This window comes from Homo sapiens, chromosome 10 (assembly GCF_000001405.40).
Source record: "Homo sapiens chromosome 10, GRCh38.p14 Primary Assembly".
NCBI classification, from domain to species: Eukaryota; Metazoa; Chordata; class Mammalia; order Primates; family Hominidae; genus Homo; species Homo sapiens.
Genome location: NC_000010.11, coordinates 22,246,593 through 22,264,130, shown reverse-complemented (window position 1 = coordinate 22,264,130; position 17,538 = coordinate 22,246,593). Strand labels below are relative to the sequence as shown.

The 17,538-nt window shown below is 41.0% G+C and overlaps 2 long non-coding RNA genes across 3 annotated transcripts, besides 4 other annotated features; one reads left to right on the top strand and one right to left on the bottom strand.

Moving 5' to 3' along the window:
• Nucleotides 1–5,582: 5,582 nt before the first annotated feature.
• LOC100130992 (uncharacterized) lies at nucleotides 5,583–12,059 on the bottom strand. Its single transcript, NR_038921.1, has one exon. It is a non-coding gene; the product is annotated as an uncharacterized LOC100130992 (long non-coding RNA).
• On the top strand, nucleotides 5,587–16,711 carry LOC105376447 (uncharacterized). 2 transcript variants are annotated; one of them, XR_001747390.3, is made up of 2 exons: nucleotides 5,587–10,705; nucleotides 12,198–16,711. It is a non-coding gene; the product is annotated as an uncharacterized LOC105376447 (long non-coding RNA). The 2 variants fall into 2 exon arrangements; XR_001747389.3 differs by having other exon boundaries at nucleotides 5,587–11,426.
• Nucleotides 9,877–10,573: an enhancer, noted in NCBI's record as "H3K4me1 hESC enhancer chr10:22542487-22543183 (GRCh37/hg19 assembly coordinates)". NCBI's record gives its function as "activates a minimal SCP1, AML or CMV promoter by ChIP-STARR-seq in primed H9 embryonic stem cells {active_cell/tissue: H9 hESC(primed)}" and the evidence as "EXISTENCE:reporter gene assay evidence [ECO:0000049][PMID:30033119]".
• Nucleotides 10,676–10,795: a silencer, noted in NCBI's record as "silent region_2203". NCBI's record gives its function as "represses an Ori minimal core promoter by ATAC-STARR-seq in GM12878 lymphoblastoid cells {active_cell/tissue: GM12878}" and the evidence as "EXISTENCE:reporter gene assay evidence [ECO:0000049][PMID:35858748]".
• Nucleotides 11,206–11,725: a silencer, noted in NCBI's record as "silent region_2202". NCBI's record gives its function as "represses an Ori minimal core promoter by ATAC-STARR-seq in GM12878 lymphoblastoid cells {active_cell/tissue: GM12878}" and the evidence as "EXISTENCE:reporter gene assay evidence [ECO:0000049][PMID:35858748]".
• Nucleotides 12,676–12,755: an enhancer, noted in NCBI's record as "active region_3128". NCBI's record gives its function as "activates an Ori minimal core promoter by ATAC-STARR-seq in GM12878 lymphoblastoid cells {active_cell/tissue: GM12878}" and the evidence as "EXISTENCE:reporter gene assay evidence [ECO:0000049][PMID:35858748]".
• Nucleotides 16,712–17,538: the final 827 nt, after the last annotated feature.

The following is a 17,538-nucleotide window of genomic DNA, read 5'->3' as shown; positions in this document are numbered from 1 at the left end:
CCCCAGGTGGAAGGACAATACATTCATAGGTTGGCATGAGTAGGCTTGGAAGGGTAAACGGGCCATTGAAATCCCTCTCCTCACCCCCTGTAAGAAAATTGATATAAAAAACTTACGTGAATGAAGCAGTCTTCAGCAGAAGGTGAAACTTGAAAGACATGAGGTAAGCCTGGCATGGTGGCACACACCTACAGTCCCAGCTACTCAGGAGGCTGAGGCCAGCAGATCGCTTGAGCCCAGGAGTTTGAGACCAGGCTAGCAACATAGTGAGACCCTGTCTCTACAAAAAATTTAAAAAGCAGCCCAGGTGTGGTGGTGCGCACTTGTGGTCCCAGTGACTCAGGAGGCAGAAGTGGGAAGACAGTGTGGGCCCAGGAGATCGAGGCTGCAACGAGCCGTGATTGCACCCCTGCACTCCAACCTGGAGTAGAGAAATGCCATGAGAGCCTCCAGGTAGGTCCTGAGCGGGGAATGGCAAATCAAGTAACTGGCTTGAGCACAAAGAGCCAGGCCATGGTCCCTGACGGTAGAATATTCTTTCCAAGGGCCTCTTCTCCTGCCCAGCACTGGGTGGCAGGAGGAGGAAGCCTGGGTTGCAGCAGTGGCAAGATGAGCCTCAGTAGCCAACACCAGTGATAATCAGGGAGTCAGCGAATCCATCTGGAAGAACTTCGAGGACAGACAAAGCTAACATGGCCTCTGTCCCCTGTAAACTCATACCTCAGTGAGCTGAGGGAACCAGAGCCAGGCTCTGCCTTTTACAACAAAAACAGCCCAACCAAAACAGCCCAACCAAAACCCCAAACAGGAACAAATTCTACTACCTTTTATACTGTAAATACAAATAATTACACTTTTGTGTTCTCTCCAAGCTTATACTACATGAGATCAAGCTTTTGGGGCTCATGGAATACTTTCATATGAATAATCTCAGGCATTACATTATCTTCCTTCCTTCCTTCCTTCCTTCCTTCCTTCCTTCCTTCCCTTCCTCCCTCCCTCCCTCCCTCCCTCCCTTCCTCCCTTCCTTCCTTCCTTCCTTCCTTCGACAGGGTTTGTTCTATTGCCCAGGCTTGAGGGCAGTGGTGCAATCATGGCTCACTGCAGCCTCAACCTCCCAGGCTCTAACGATCCTCCCACATTAACCTCCCAAGTAGCTGGAACTACAGGTGTGTACCACCATGCTCAGCTAATTTTTAAAATTTTTGTAGAGTTGGCGTCTCAATATGTTGCCCAGGCTCATCCCAAACTCCTGATCTCAGGCGATCCTCCCTCCTTGGCCTCCCAAAGCGCTGGGATTACAGGTGTGAGCCACCTCCCCAGACCTCAGACATTATTTTCTCTAAGGGGAAACCTAAATTCTATATGAGGCATTTCATTCAAAAATCCCACTGAAACTGAAGCATTCTGTGAAACTAAGGAACGATTTCTAAGGAAGATACCTTTGCAGCCTTCCTCCCCAGGCCTGGGCCCATGTTGTGTGAGGTGGAGGAGAGTAAACCAGGACTTGCAACAGCACATCTCTCTCTTTTTTTTTTTTTGGAGATGGAGTCTTGCTCCTTGCTCTGTCGCCCAGGCTGGAGTGCAGTGGCGCGATCTCGGCCCACAGCAAGCTCCGCCTCCCAGGTTCATGCCATTCTCCTGCCTCAGCCTCCCGAGTAGCTGGGACTACAGGCATGCACCCACCACACCTGGCTATTTTTTAAAAAGCTTTCTGTAGCGATGAGGTGTTGCTATGTTGCCCAGGCTGGTCTTGAACTCCTGGCCTCAAGCCATCCTCCTACTTTGGCCTCCCAAAGTGCTGGGATTATAGGCATGAGCCATTGAACCTGGCCTCTGTTTGACATCTCTTTTCTAATTCTTCCACTTTTCTTGTTAACCAAATTTAACCAAATCAAATAAGCCCACAAATTGTACGTGTGCACAGCGGCTAAAACCTTCTTGTGCCTCTCATTTGCCAAGCCACAAAAGACACTTAACCATCCCTGATACACAGCTCCCATGACAGGAGGGTGGGATAAGTAAATGGGATATGATGGCCGTGGAAAGTTCTCTGGGGCAGTAATGTTTAAGGTGAGAATTTCAGGGCAAGAAGAAACCAGCTATGCTGGAACTAGCATTGTAGCAGAGGAAACAGCATATGCAAAGACCCTGTGTCAAGGCATTTGGATATTTCTTAGCATATCCAAGGAATAAAAAGAAGACCTAGATGCCTGTAATCCTAGCATTTTGGGAAGGCAAGGTGGGTGGATCACCTGAGGTCAGGAGTTCGAGACCAGACAGGCCAACATGGTGAAACCCCCGTCTCTACTAAAAATACAAAAATTAGCTGGGCTTGGTGGTGGGCGCCTGTAATCACAGCTGCTCGGGAGGCTGAGACAGGAGATATTGCCTGAACCCAGGAGGTGGAGGTTGCAGTGATCCGAGATCACACCATTGCACTCTAGTCTGGGTAACAGAGGGAGACTCAAAAAAAAAAAAAAAAACCCAAAAACAATAACAAAAACAAAAAACAAGTGAGCTGGAGTATATTGAGAAAATGGGAGAAATGACAGGACATGAACCTAAGGAAGTATGTAGATGACAGATAGTATTGGGACTACAGTAACATGTTTGTATTTTACTATCAGTGTAAAGAAAGCCTCTGAGAGGTTTAGGCAGTTGTGTCATAATTTGTATTTAAAAACTATTGATACCAGTTATATAATGTTCAGAAATGGGCAAAACTAATTGATGGCAATAGAAGGTAGAAGAATGGGTCCCTGTGGGGGTGATGACTAGGAGGGAGAATGAGGGAGTGCTTCTGAGGTGCTGATCGATTTCACGATCCAGGTGCTGGTTATACAGGGGTGTCCAGGTTATAAAACAGCAACAAGCTGCATATTTATGATTTATGCACTTTTTCTGTAAAATTTATTCCGTAATATTTTGGTAAAAATTTTGCTAAAAAACGGAATAAATGTTTACAATAGTTTGAGGAAGAACAGATTTCAGGGACAAGGCAGAGGGGAGACCCCTTTGGAAAAGTTGATGTTGGCTTGAACTAATATGGCAGCTGTCAGGCCAGGTGTGGTGGTTCGCACCTGTAATTCCAGCATTTGGGAGGCCAAGGTGGGAGGATCACTTGAGTCCAGGAATTCAAGATCAACCTGGGCAACATAGTGGGTCCCTGTCTCGACAAAAAATTAAAAAATTAGCCAGGCATGGTGGTGCATGCCTGTAGTCCCAGCTTCTTGGGAGGCTGAGGTGGGAGGATGGCTTGAGCCCAGGAGGTCAAGGCTGCAGTGAGCTATGATCATGCCATTGCACTCCAGCCTGGGTGACACACTGAGACCATGTCTCAAAAAAAAAAAAAAAAAAGTATGGCTGCTGTTAAGATAGAGAAAATTAGAAAGATAGGATATATTTGGAATGAAATTGCTGGAACTTGCTGATGGATCAGATACAGGCATCTTAAAGAGAAGAATGACTTCTAGGTTTCTGACTTACACAGCCAGATAAAGGGTGATGCCATGCCATCACTGCATTGTAGGCAGAAGGTCAAGGATTCAGCTTTGGAATATTATGTGATTTTTAGACACTTCTGAAGCATCTACCAGGTGGTTGTAGCTTCAGGTAGATTGTTGGATCATTAACTGATGCTCAGAGAAGAGATTTGTGAAAGAGGCATAAGTGTTGTTATTGTAGGCATACAGATTGTAATAGAAGCTATGAGAATGTTTGGGGACATCCATGGAAAGAGGGTGGAGAACACGGAGAAGAAGACCACGACTGTCTTAAGGAGCTGCTTCCTTTAGAGTTGGTTAAAAAAAAAAAAAAACAAAGAAGAAGAAGAAGAAAGAGACAGAAAAAAAGATCAAGGAGATAGGAAAAAAGAGCGAGCAGTTGTGGTGTCAGTCAAAGAGGGTTGCCTGGTGCTAGGTGGTTAAGTAAGACCATGACAGGGAAGAATCCTCTGGATTTGACAACATGGAGACCATCAGTAACATCTGTAAGTATCTGTCACTTTATTAATGATGCCAAGCCTGTCTTCCTCTGTAAAATGTCCTAATAGTTTACCTACTTCCCAGAGTTTTTGAATTTAAAGTACTTTGCACACTTTGTACAAGACCTGGCTAAATGTGAGTTGTTAGTTTAGCTGAGAACAAATGCTTGCATTGGTATAAAATAGGTTTGATAACACCCTCCTCATAAACTTGTTAAAAGGAATACATGAAGTAATGTTACATTTTAGAAAAGTAGATTTTAAAAACAGGTATAGGAAGTAGGTCTTCCCCACACCTCCATCTGAATCGATTACAGCTGGTAAATCTGAGAACAAGAGGACCAAACCACATCTTCAAGGAAGCAGAATACTCAGTGGTAAGGTTAGGCCCTGCCAACCATTTATTTAATTAAGAATCCTTTAGAGAGGTATTGAGTACTGGTAAAAACAGAGAGATCTGTGTGGCAGAAAACATGATGATAAATTAAAGCACTAACATATATTTCAGTTTCTATGCAAAACACAGTCTAGCGTTGGCTCTCTATAATTGTATGGCTGGTAGAGATGCTTCAAAGATGTGCTGCAATTCAGCAAAAGCTGCCACAGGGCCAAAGCCAGTGGCCCAGGATTAGGGGACCTAATACTAGTAAAGATAGAGTCACAGTGCTCCCTACAGTTTTTAAGCTTAAAGGCCAAGACGAGGCCAAGGATGCTGATGCCTTTGTCCAGACCTTTCTAGTGTTCATATTCTACCACCCAGAAATCTAATCCTAAGAAGAGAATTTACCAGTCATTGCCAGGGCTAGCACAGCCCTGGGAAAATGGGAATATGCGGGAGATAGTTCCTCTATTTCCTTTCAGCTGAAGATGGACCATGCTGGGCACAGTGGCTCATGCCTATAATCACAGCCATTTTGGAGGCAGAGAGAGATAGGAGGATTCCTTGAGGCCAGGAGTTCAAGACCAGCTTGGGCAACATAGCGAGACCCCCCCCGCCCACCATCTCTACAAAAAATTTAAAACAAAAAACAATTAGCCAGGTGTGGTGGCAAGTGCCTCTAGTCCCAACTACTCCGGAGGCTCATGTGGGAGGATTGCTTGAACCCAGGAGTTGCAGACTGCAGTGAGCTAAGATTGCACCACTGTACTCCAGCCTGGGTGACAGAGCAAGACCCTGTCTCAAAAAAAAAAAAAAAAAAGATGGACTAATTGGCCATGTTCTCAGATAAACTGGTGGTGGAAGGTAATCTTTGGCAACAAACAAGCTGAAAAAATATTACTCATTTTTAATCTAGTTAATAAGGGAAATTGAGAGAAGTTCTAGCACAACTGTGAGGTACTGCAAAGGCACTATTTTTCCTGGTCTGTTCTGCTGGAACTCCCATTCCTAGACAGCCTGGCATCAGGCACAGCTGAGAGGGAAACCCTGTCAACAGAGGACAAGTCCCTATTCTTACTGAGGGGCAGGTGGTCAGATGGTCACGCTACCAGAAGAAATAGCATTGACTGTTTGCTGAGCCACTGGGTTTGCATGCAATGGGATCGGGAGGCTGTGATCAGAGAAACAGATGAGAATCTTTTCAAAAACAGACAAACATTAAAATGCAGGAGGTCTATTTATTTGTCAAGTCAACGTTTAGTAATAAGGGAGAACAAAGTTTACCCTGCTATCAGAAAATAAGAAATCAGAATCCAGTCATATGGGATGGGAGAAGCTCGCAAGCTATTACAACTGAACTCAGGAAGCAGATAATCAGCTAGGAAAGAGGTACCCTTAAATGCCAGGCTGTATCTGAGAGTGTATCTCCCTTGATCAGAGCCCAGAGTACAAGCTAAACAATTCCTTCATAAATCAGCACACATCAGCTTCTAAAATCAGCAATATGTCTCCAAACATCTTGAACTGACATTAAGAAATGCTGCACCATTGAGAAAATGGTTTCCAGTTATTTGAACTTAAAGAATTAACTTGTTGAAGCACATCTTTAATCATTGATAAGTTACTGAATTCAAAGAGAAGTAATAATGAATGGTAAACCAATTAACTAGGAATTATATTTCAATTTTTTTTTGCTTTGGCAAACTTGATGATTAGTTGATATTTTTTCAATATTTAGGAACAAGGAACACATATAAATTTCACATTTGTGTTTTTAGCATTTTGACCAGCAATTCATTTTTCAATTTCATGTGTGAAGCTAAACTGATGATCTGTTAATCTTCGTTTGTTTGGAATTAGCCTGAAAAGTGCTAAATACTGCTTTTTGGATAGAATCTTGAGTGGACTAGAACCAGTTTGTTAGGAAAAAATAAATCTGAGCCTACTTTACGTTTGAAGTAACTGAACGATTACATGATTGCTTGGCTATTTTAACAGTTGATCTTGATTTCCACACAATGTGCAAATTTATTATTACTATAAACAAAAGGGGAAAAAACCCTTACATCTATTACAAAATGCTTTAAGAGATAGTATTTAGTCATGATATTTATTAACACAGTTCATAGTAAAGCTGAAATATGGCAATAATCTGGTTAGTTTGATTTATGTGGATAGACAAATTATCTGGTTGTCAAATACATTACAAAACTCATATTTTAATTTCTATTTTATAGACATGATTTTAATGATCTGTATATTTTACATTCATGTCACGTTCGTACCCGAAATCTCTAATTAATTCATGTTTTCCATTACACCTTGGAGTAATCATTGCCCAGCTATAGGGAACAGTATGAAATGAAGTGTGTTATGCATCATTAAATGTTTATGTTAAAATAGGGCATTATCTAGTTAGTTAATTTAGACCAGGTAAAACTACACAAAAACGTTTCTCTCTGTTGCTCAGCAATTCAGCCGTTTCTCTGCACATCCTTCCTCAAGTTCTCCTGTCCCATTCACATTAATTATTCAAGGTCCCGAAACTTTTTCTTCCAGCAACGTTTGCTCTGATACTCATTCAAAGGTATAAATAATTGACAACAGCTTAGAATGTGAGTTTTCTCAGTAGCATTTGGATTTTATTGAGGTTCAAATTTTTAAACTACAAAAATGGTGAATGCATCAGTAAATGGGTGATGGAAATATTTGGGGAGGATGCACTGTTTGCAGTTGTCCTTGAAATTGGATCAAGTAGCCACTTGCCTACTCTGTCTGCTAGGAAGGCAGATAAGAATTCTGCACCTTCCTCTTCTACCCCTTAAAACTCTCCTTTGTTTCACATAACCAGAAAATGTTTATTTTAATTATCTAGATATTCCATTTCTATTTTTCCTTTTTTACTGTAAGAAATGGCATGGTAAAAGATTCAATAAAACCATAGTATTTTATGCTCAATACTCTAAATTAAGAATTAAAGTCCTACTATCTAGATGCCATTCCAAATGATTAATTTTGTTTCACATTGTTCATAAGAATAATACATTACTTTAGGTGATGTTTTTTCCCACCAAATTGCTTAGTTAAAAAAAAAACATTAGTAATTGCTAGTTCCTATTATCTAAGTAGATAAAATATAATTAGAAAAACAACTGGATAGTTTCACTCTACGTTGTTCTCAGTGCAATGTCCAGTTTGCAAATGCTTCATTCATTTGTTAATTTTAGAGGACAGCATTTCAGTGCAATAATTGAAAATAGCTCATAGCCTGTTCTGTGAAGAAACAAAACATTGGTTGTGTTGGTGTCAAGTAAGTTAATTATGCTTTATCACCTTCAAATGGAGCATATAATTGATTTATGAAATTCTGCTATCGTGTTGAGACCATTATTAGTAATCAAGAATTCCAATAGTTTCTTCTTATTCCTCATGTACAAAATCATCTGGGTATTCCATATGTTTAAAAACAATTCAATTTGGAGCACTTGTACTATCATAAATTGATGAATTAAAAACTAGATACAAAGTGTGGAAACTACTGTAAAAGATTACTGACTTCTAAAAAATATTGCATTTATTGTGGCAATACATTCTTATTCAGCAATATGACTATGTAATTTTTCTGTAGTACTTTGTAGAATTTTCATTAATTCCACTTAAAATCAATGGCTTATATACAGTTCTTTTTTGTGACATGAAAACTATAACATTTTGGCTGATCAATGTTCTTTTGCTTGTTTACTTTTAGGTCTTTACAATTACCTAAGGAATTGCCTGAGGCATTGAACATATTGCCGGATATTTAGCTGCAAACAAACAAAAATGTTTTCAAACAAGGATGTAGATGAAAAAGCTATACAATGATTTTAATACCACCTCCACTCCATCACCTCTACACCACCAGCACTGTCACACATACTCTCAGAATGTTTGGTATCATATACAACTCTCCTAAAGCAAGAGATAATGTCAAAAATTTAAAAAGAGAATGCTACTCCTACATTTCCAGGTAACATAAAGAGTTGTAACCCTTGAACTTCCTGTATATATTAATATTTGTTTTCAACACACTAATTGCCTTGGACCTCTATGAATTTTATGTATTTAATAAATTAATGCAAGTGTTCATCTTAATTTTAGATTTACATTTGTTATCTTTGAACTATATCAATTTCTCATAAAACAATTAAGAAACAGCATAAACAAAAAGGGAAATGAAAATATTTCATTTCATTATTTAAGTGTTTGATAATGCTTGGTATCAAGTAGACATAATCAGAAGAGTATTTAATAAAGCAATGGATTAGGAAGGGGCTGTTAGAGAACATAGATGGTATTACTCTTTAATAATTAGGTACAAAAATAAGGTCTTAATAAATTGGAAATTTATGTTTTCCATTGAATGTTCTTAAAATGCCAATAGAATTATAGTGAAATGATTTTCTTTGCTGATTCCTATGATAGTATGATACATACCTTATTTTAGATATTTACATTTTCATTCTGTTAGAATGAAATACCTGTATGTATTCCATGTGCTGACATATAACAAAATCTGGGATTTAAGAAAATGTACTTCAAAAATGTAAAAATTGCAGATAATTGAAATTTGAGGTATTTATAATACAAATAAGGACCATTTAAAATATACCAACAGGCATTATTAAAAATAAGTATATAGTTCTGTAAAGATTGTGTGTGTTATATATTGACTATCAAACACTGGACATTTGTGAACTAGCTTTTTGCTATTCCTAAGTATTATCTTTCCAAAAACTTGCTATGAAGGTCATTTATATTTCCTTTCTAAATGGATTTTGAATAAAACATAAGAGCTGTATTTAACATTCTGCATCTGAATTCCAAGACTCTGATTGTATGCCTTCTTTTACATTACAAATCTATCAAATAGAGATGATTTTCCTTTTGAATTCCATATTACCTAGCAATATTTAACACCTGAAATGCTAGAAGTGGCACCCATTGATCTTTGCTCTGCATTGAAAGTTGATCAGTACATGGCCTCATGAAAGAAAAATGTTCTTTCTAGGGTTTAATAAATGCTTCACAATGAGTTTTTTTTTTTAAGTAGGCCTTAATACCTAATCACTTGCATTCGGTGGCTAGATTTGAGTGGATAAGAACACCTACCAAAGTACAACTTCCAATTTTTATTTCAGAAGGAAACCATCCTTGAGAGATGAGAAAATAACTTACTTTAAGCTTTATTCATTTTTGTATTTGGCTGCCATAAAATATCTTTTACTAAGTAGCTTTAGGGTTTTTTTTTTAATCTAATCCTGATTAAATTAAAAGAAAAACCTGGTAAGTTAATTGTAAGCTTTCCCATAAAAGAGAGAAGCACAAAATGCCATGGAATATATCCAAGAAACATAACATAAACATGAGACTTACAATGCACAATTTAAAATTTCATATGTTGTCAAATGATAAATGTCTGTTCCAGCTATGAATACTTTAACTTCAAAAATCTTTCATAGCCTTAAAAAAGAACTCTCACAGAAACAGAAGCTGGAATGTTATTTGTGAACTAGGCCTTGCACCTTGTCAATATTTTTAGTTCTTAAATTTCTGGAATGTTCTAAAGACATAAAACATCTACTTCATTTTGAAATTTTGATTTTAACATTTCACTAACAACACTGGGAAAGGATCATCTTAACTAAAGGTGTCAAGACTAACGTTTGAGCTTAGCCGTTGAACTTTCTCTTAGGGGAAACAGTTTAATCCCCAAGTACTATGAGATAGGCGTTTTAAGGCAACTTTTTAAAAAGGAAAATAAATCTGCTTTTTGCCGTCTAGGAAAGATACATTTTTCCTTGTGGAAATCTGCAGTCTGAAAAGACAGATATGAAAAGCATGAACTGTTGAAAATAACCTAAATGTTCTTTGAAAATTTAAAGGCCAGCTTATCCTGCAATGGTGATAGAATAGTCGGCTTACAACACGCAAAGCCGAGCCGCGGGTGGGCAGGCGCCGCCCGTGGCTCGCGGAGTGGATGCACTCGAGGGCGCGGCCGCTGCGCTTGGGGAACTTTCAGGGCGCCAAGTACGGGTAGCGCTTCTGATGGATTCCCGGGTCTGGGAGGATCCGATTATCCCGGGGCCGGGTGACACGCACAAAGCTGAGGTTAGAGTTGGCCAGGAAGGGAGGACCTGGTGAGCCGGTGGAACAAAAGCGGGAAGGCCTTTCCTTCTAGGAGCAAAACCAGCGACGCGTCCCGGACGCCCGGGGACCCCTGTGGGTCTCGGTTTCCTTCGCTGTGACCCTGACATGTTTCCCTCCACCGGCCCGAGGAAACCGTCGCTTCCAGCCTCCAGGTACCGTCACCTCTGCGGGGCTGCGAGCGGAGGACCGGGACAGAGAAGGAGCCGGCGGTCCTGGCCAGCCGCGCGGCTCAAAACCCGACGGCGCGGGGACTCCGGGCCTGGGGCCTCCATGGCTGTGGCCTCCTTATCTCCCGGGCCGGCTGCTCCCTACGCTGCGGGGCTGAGGGCACTGGGGACCCAGGGGCTTCTCTGGCACTAGCGAGGACCTAACCTTGAGTGAAGAACGATGTCAAGTGAAAGTGAAGAATAACGGGGGTGGGCGCGAAGAGAATGGTCTTGGGGCGCGCTTGCGCCTCTACCCGAGGACCGAGGTGGGGATTCGACAGACGCCAGCGGTGGGGATCCGGGGCGAGAAGCCCCGACTTTCTGAGTCGTGAGCCGCCTCCAGTCGCCCCAGGACGTAACCCCGAGGAGCTTTCAGACACTGGCCGCGCCTAATATCGCTGAGAACCGCGAAAACCGGAGTTCCGGCCGCCTCCCGGACTGGCGTCCCGAGGCCAGGGGACCCGCTTGGGGCTCCCGGCCGAGCCCCGACCTCGGACGTTTTTCCGGGAGCCGCGAGAGGCCTGGGGGCCTGGGCCAGGCGCCGCGGCGGGCATCGATCGCCGGCTCCCAGAGAGTGGCCCCGCGCAGGTGGAGGTGACCCCGTCACCTCCAGGAGCGCCCCCAAGCCCCGGTACCCGCAGCGTGCGCCCTCTCCTCCTCCCCGAAGGTTAAGTTCGTCTTTTTCGGTTCTCGGTTACGCATCCCCTTGGCACGCATGCCCAGCCACACCGTGGGCGAAACTAGAGGGCCCGCGTCCCCTGGGGGCTGCCGCGGGGCCCCGAGTGAGGTGTCCCCTCCGGGCCGGGCCCGAGTCGGAGGCCCCCTTTGCAGCCTAGAGGAGCGCGGGGCTGGCGCTGCGCAGGAACCGCCAGGCCGGGGAGGGGGCCGCGCCCGGGCCTGGGCCAAGAGCGCGCGTCCCCCGCCCGGGCCCTGCGGCCCTCCCCAGGTGTCTGAGCAGAGCTGCTGAAGCTGCAGAAATGTGCTGGCGCCTGTCCACCGCCGCACACAAAACCCAGCCAAAAGCGGCGAGAGGAAAAGCGAATATGGCGCTGCTGAAAATGGAGACTCCGCATCTAGAAAGTCTTTCTTTCCTTTCCTCTTTTCGCTCTTACTTCGTCGATCTTTTCCCCCTTGCCCTCTCACGAGGGCCTCCTGCGCTTTCCTTCGGGTGTTCTCTACCCCTCGGCCCCTTTCCTGTTCTTATGAATAACCTCCTTTACTCGGTTTTCCTTCTTCCTTTCCACTCCCGGTTCCTCTTTCTCCATTTTGTGTCACAGGCGCCTTGCTTCTTGTTCCCTTTCAGGGCGCGCACTCCCCCGCCCGGCTCACTTTATTTTGTGTGTGGGTGGCGGAGCAGGGAGGGGGTGGCAAGGATCGTGAGGCTAAGTATCGAGTTTGTTTGTTTGTTTTTCTTTCTTTCTTCTTCTTCTTTTTAAAGGTGTTATCTTAGGAGCCAAGCATCTCCTTTGGTCCTGCGCTCCTTCGCCTAGCGCCTGGTGCCCCCCACCCGGCTGCATCCGAGGCTTGCGCGGCCCGGTCCCATCAGCCGAGCGTCGCCCGCCCAGGAGGAGGCTCGGGTTCTCCGCAGAAGCGAATACTTTCTCTTTTTGTTTTAAGTTAGAACCTTGCTTTTGCAGTGATTCGTTGCTGTGGCGTGATTTTAAACAGGTGAGAAATCGGAGTCTCATTTTCCCAGGGGGGCTTCCAATGAGGATTTTAAGAGAAGCGTGCAAAGAAGACAGCAATGTCCATCTTTTTTTTTTCTTGTTTTCTTTTGAACAGAGGGAACCCCCACGCGCTGAGATAGTTATGTTTTTAAGGCTAAACTTTTTTAAAATTAGTTTTTCTTTTACACTTATGGCTGACTTTTGATCCTTTTAAAGAAAGGATGAAGTCAAAACAGATTAATGCTTTTGAATACACAACGTCCCCACGTCCCCAAATTGTGGTGCTGGGATAGTTCCTCTAAGATGCATTCTGATTTTGAAGTTCAAGGTCTCTAAGCGCTGTTAAGCGGAACCATGAAAAATACGTTGCTACATTAAAGATAAAACAGACGGTGATACTGACTGCAGAATCGTAGTAGAAACTTTTTTTTTTTTTTTGAGGCTGTGCAGGATTTGCCTTGGTTTTATTAGGGAACCTGCTAATAGAAGCAATTTCAAGTGACGGGCTTCCCTCAGTAAAAAGCTGGAAGCAATGACATCTTTTCTATCTGAGTGACTCTCCTTAGTCGTGGTAAATAAATAAATAAATAAATAAATAGATAGATAGATAGATAAATAAATAAATAAATAAAAATTAGTTTACATGCAGTGTTTGAAAAGAAAATGATTTTGCTTCCCAAGTTTTTATGTGTTTTCTTTTTTACCAACTATATTTCACTTTATTTACAATTGTCAGTTTATTCTCACACCTTCTGGTTAGTTTTATCTTCTCACCATGGTCTGTTAGAACCCCATCCTCGAGCAAAAAAACAAAAACAAAAACCACCCCCCCAAAACAAACAAACAAACAAACAAAACAGGTGTTCATCCCTGTGAGATGCTAATGCCCCTGGAACTGTTTGAAAAGAGCAAAATTTTGTAAGGAGATTCTTTTCAAAAAGTGTTAGAGAAGTATTCTTCAAAAACATCTTAGAATGTTTCCTTAAAAAATTTCCTTTCTTGGTTTTCATTAATTGCCTTTGATTAAAATTAGGTTACAAACATATCTTAATTTCAGACTGTTTCTTTATAAAAGAAAGGAGAAAGTAAATAGGTGTTGGCAAGGACTAAACCAATGCAACTAGGCCCTGTTGAGAGCCTAAATCTGTAAACTGGTACCCTTAAAAAACATCAATCAACTTGAGGTTCGTACAGGTAGTTCTTTGACTCAAACAGTTGATTTTTAAAAGTCTTATAAAATAGGTTAAAATGTGTTTTTAGTCCAGGTTCCTACTTCTTTGTTATGCATTTCTCCTCGTAGATAAATAAATGAATCTAACTTGATGAGTAGGTAGATTTTTCTCCAGAAGAACTTTCTAAAAATGGGCAAAGTTAGGGAAGTGATTAATACCCTTCAGTTTAATTGGAATTATTCAGTGCTTATACCAAGTTAATCCTATTAAGATGCTATTTCCTGCTCAGGGGGATAAATTAAGCACAACTTAGATTATTTTAGGTGGACAACTGGTATATAGTCTAAGCAATGGGGGCTGGAAAAAAGTATCTCTTCTCCAAAAAATATAGATTATGTACCAGTAATGTTCAAAGTACTTTGAGGAAGTGTATTGATGGGATGAATATAAATCATAGTGACTGTTGTTAAGGGGTTTACGGATTATAAAGAGCAATTGAGCTTCCTTTATTTTCTCTTATTTAGAAAACAAACATTCATAAGAAAAAAATAAAATTAGATCCCTTCTTTTGCCCACATACAAATTCAGTTTCAGATCAATTAAAAAGTTAAATAAGAAAAATAGAATTAAAAAAATATTGGAAGGCTGGGCGCAGTGGCTCACGCCTGTAATCCCAGCACTTTGGGAGGCCAAGGCGGGCAGATCACGAGGTCAGGAGATTGAGACCATCTTGGCCAACATGGGGAAACCCTATCTCTAGTAAAAATACAAAAATTAGCTGGTTGTGGTGGCACATGCCTGTAATCCCAGCTACTCGGGAGGCTGAGGCAGGAGAATCGCTTGAACCTGGGAGGCAGCGATTGCAGTGAGCCGAGATCGCGCCACTGCACTCTAGCCTGGCAGCAGAGTTATCTCTGTAACTCTCCATCTCAAAAAAAAACAAAAAAAATTGAAAGGAAATATAGAATTTGTAGTATGAAAGGATTTCTTAAACAAAACATTAAAATACACAATCCATTAAGGAAATGATCAATTGGATGACAGTCATGCTCCAAATAATGATATGTTAGTCAATACATGATAATAGTCCCATAAGGTTATAATATTGTATATTTACTGTACCTTTTCTATGTGTAGATGTGTCTAATTATACAAATACCATTGTGTTACAATTGCCTACAGTATTCAATACAGTCACATGCTGTACAGGTTTGCAGCCTAGGAGCAATAGGCTTGTACCATATACAAACCATCTAGGTTTGTGTAATTACACTCTATGATGTTAGCATGACAAAACTGCCTATGGACCTATTTCTCAGAATATGTCCCTGTAGTTGAGTGCCATGTGACTGTATATAAAAATTTTTAAAAATACTTTTTACATGACAAAAGATATCATAAAATGTTACAAGATAAACTGAGAAGATATTTTCAAGGCATGTACTTGGTGAAGGATTCATATTCAAAATGTATAAATAACTTATATAGAAAGAATTTACTAATTTATGTATAATGAATTTCATAAATAAAAGATGTGGGCCAGGATATATACATATGAAGTGAAAGTATAGTACTATCAATAGGATGAATACATATCAACTTCAAAAAATGTAATTTCCTTTGGGATAGAAAGAAAGAAGGAAGGAGGGGGAATAGGAAGAGGGCAACAACTTCCTGCCCAGGGGGCAACAACTCTTTTTTTTTTTTTTTTTGAGACAGAGTCTTGCTTTTGTCCCCCAGGCTTGAGTACAATGACTCGATCTCGGCTCACTGCAACCTCCGCCTCTCGGGTTCAAATGATTCTCCTGCCTCTGCCTCCCAAGTAGCCAGTTAAGGCACCTGCCACCATGCCCGTCTAATTTTTGTGTTTTTTAGTAGAGACGGAGTTTCACCATTTTGGCCAGGCTGGTCTCGAACTCCTGACCTCAGTTGATCCGCCCACCTCAGCCTCCCAAAGTGCTGGGATTACAGGCATGAGCCACTGCGCCCAGCCCACAGCAATTCTTTATAAAAAGATCAGAGGCAACTATGGGAAGACATTAACACTTTTTGTTCTTTGTAGATTGTTAAAAGCTTGTTATAATTTATTTAAAAATCTCTAACATCAATTCCTAGTCTAAAGAATGAACAAATGACACATTTCTTTTCCTTAGTCAATAATAATCTTGTAAGATGGTGTTCACGTGCTTTTCTTTGAGGGCAAAGAAAACACCATTCCCCAGTGTTTTTCCTGGGCAGTGTTTGAATATTATATGATACTCACAGCAGAGATTTTCCTAGTTTGGCTTCTGTTGTAAGCTTGTTTTCTGAGTAGATTTAAATGAGAAGAACAGAAACATATTTGAAACTATGACTATGTATAAGAGCATTTATTCTCCTATAATGAAATCGTGGAAAATGTTTTTAAAAAGTGAGCAAACAAAAACCTCCACACCATTATAGAAACACGGTTAAAAAACTATTGAATAATCTCAAGCCTAGTGTGTAATAATTATTAAGTGTGTCTAATTTGTTGTGCTAAGTGTCAGGAATTGGTATTGTGGAAGGATATGTGAGATCTCATTTTCTCCTTTTATATGGCAGGAGTTTATACAGTATTTACATCTGTCATTGATACTTTTTATGAACAGAAGTTTTGTTTACTTATAACTTCCACAGGGATTATTCATATGGAGCACTGGAAAGATGTAACATTTCATTTGCTTTGATACCTTGTGTTTATTTTAGGTCGAAAAGCATCATGAAGCCAAGTGGTTATTGTTTTGCTTATTCAGTGTGAACTGAGTGAGCCAGGTTTGTATACCAAGTGATTCTCGTGGTGGACAATACCAATATGATTATGCCAAATGCATTGCTTCTGAGGCATCACTCTTTGGGCACATATAGACCCTGCTGATTTCTGCCAAAGCACTCTTCTTAAAGTTCCAAAACATTACCCCAAAACCTCTATAGCCCCCTATTGCCAACAAAATTAAAGCCTTTCTCTTCATTGGCATTAGAAGCCCCTGTAACCCATTGCTTTTCCATTTCCAGCCTCTTTCCAAAATTACCAAACAAACTCTGTATCCTGCAGCCACCAAACTGTACTAGTTGTAATATATTCACTAAGAACAGTGGTCTCTCATTTGTCTCTCTTTTCTCTCTTCTTATATCAGTTAGAATGTAACAGACAACCCAGCTAACACAGAGGCTCATTTTTCTTATGTGACAAGAAGTCTGTAGATAAAGAGTTGCTAGTGTTTTCTTGGGGGTTCAGTGATATCACCTCTGTGATTCAGTTGACCTTCATATCATAGTTGCAAAATGGCTGCCGTAAGTACAAAAACCACACTGACTGCTGGGTGGGAAGGCAACAGAAAATTTGTTCTTGGTGAGTCTTACTCACGTCAAGGAAGTATAATATTTTCCAAAATGCCCCACCAAAGGATTTCCTCTTACATCATATTAGCCAGAACTGGGACATATTATCACCCTTTATCTGGGGTAGAGGCCCACATTTCCACATCAAAGGGAATTTGCTCAATGCCTAAATCAAACTGGAATTCAGTTAAGCAAAGAAGAAACAGAGGAATGGTTTTTGGGTAGGCAGTAAACACTGTCAGCTACATCTCCCTGAAAGCCATCACTCCCTTAAAATATCTTTGCGTAATGTCATCAGTTACTTCTGAACTTTTTCATCCAATGGACAGTGTTTATTTTCTAACTTACTTGAACTTTTTGTGGGGCTTAGCCACACCCTTTTTGAAATTTATGTATTCATCAAATACCCACTCATCACTTACTGTGTATTAGTCACTCTGCTGGGCAAAGAGAATGAAAAAATGAGTCATGCATGGTCCTGAACCTTCACAAGTTTATAGCCTAGTGGGGCAGACAGGTGAATAAATAAGTGCAAAAGAATGTTATAGATACTGTGATAAAATTATGTTTCGTGGGCCGG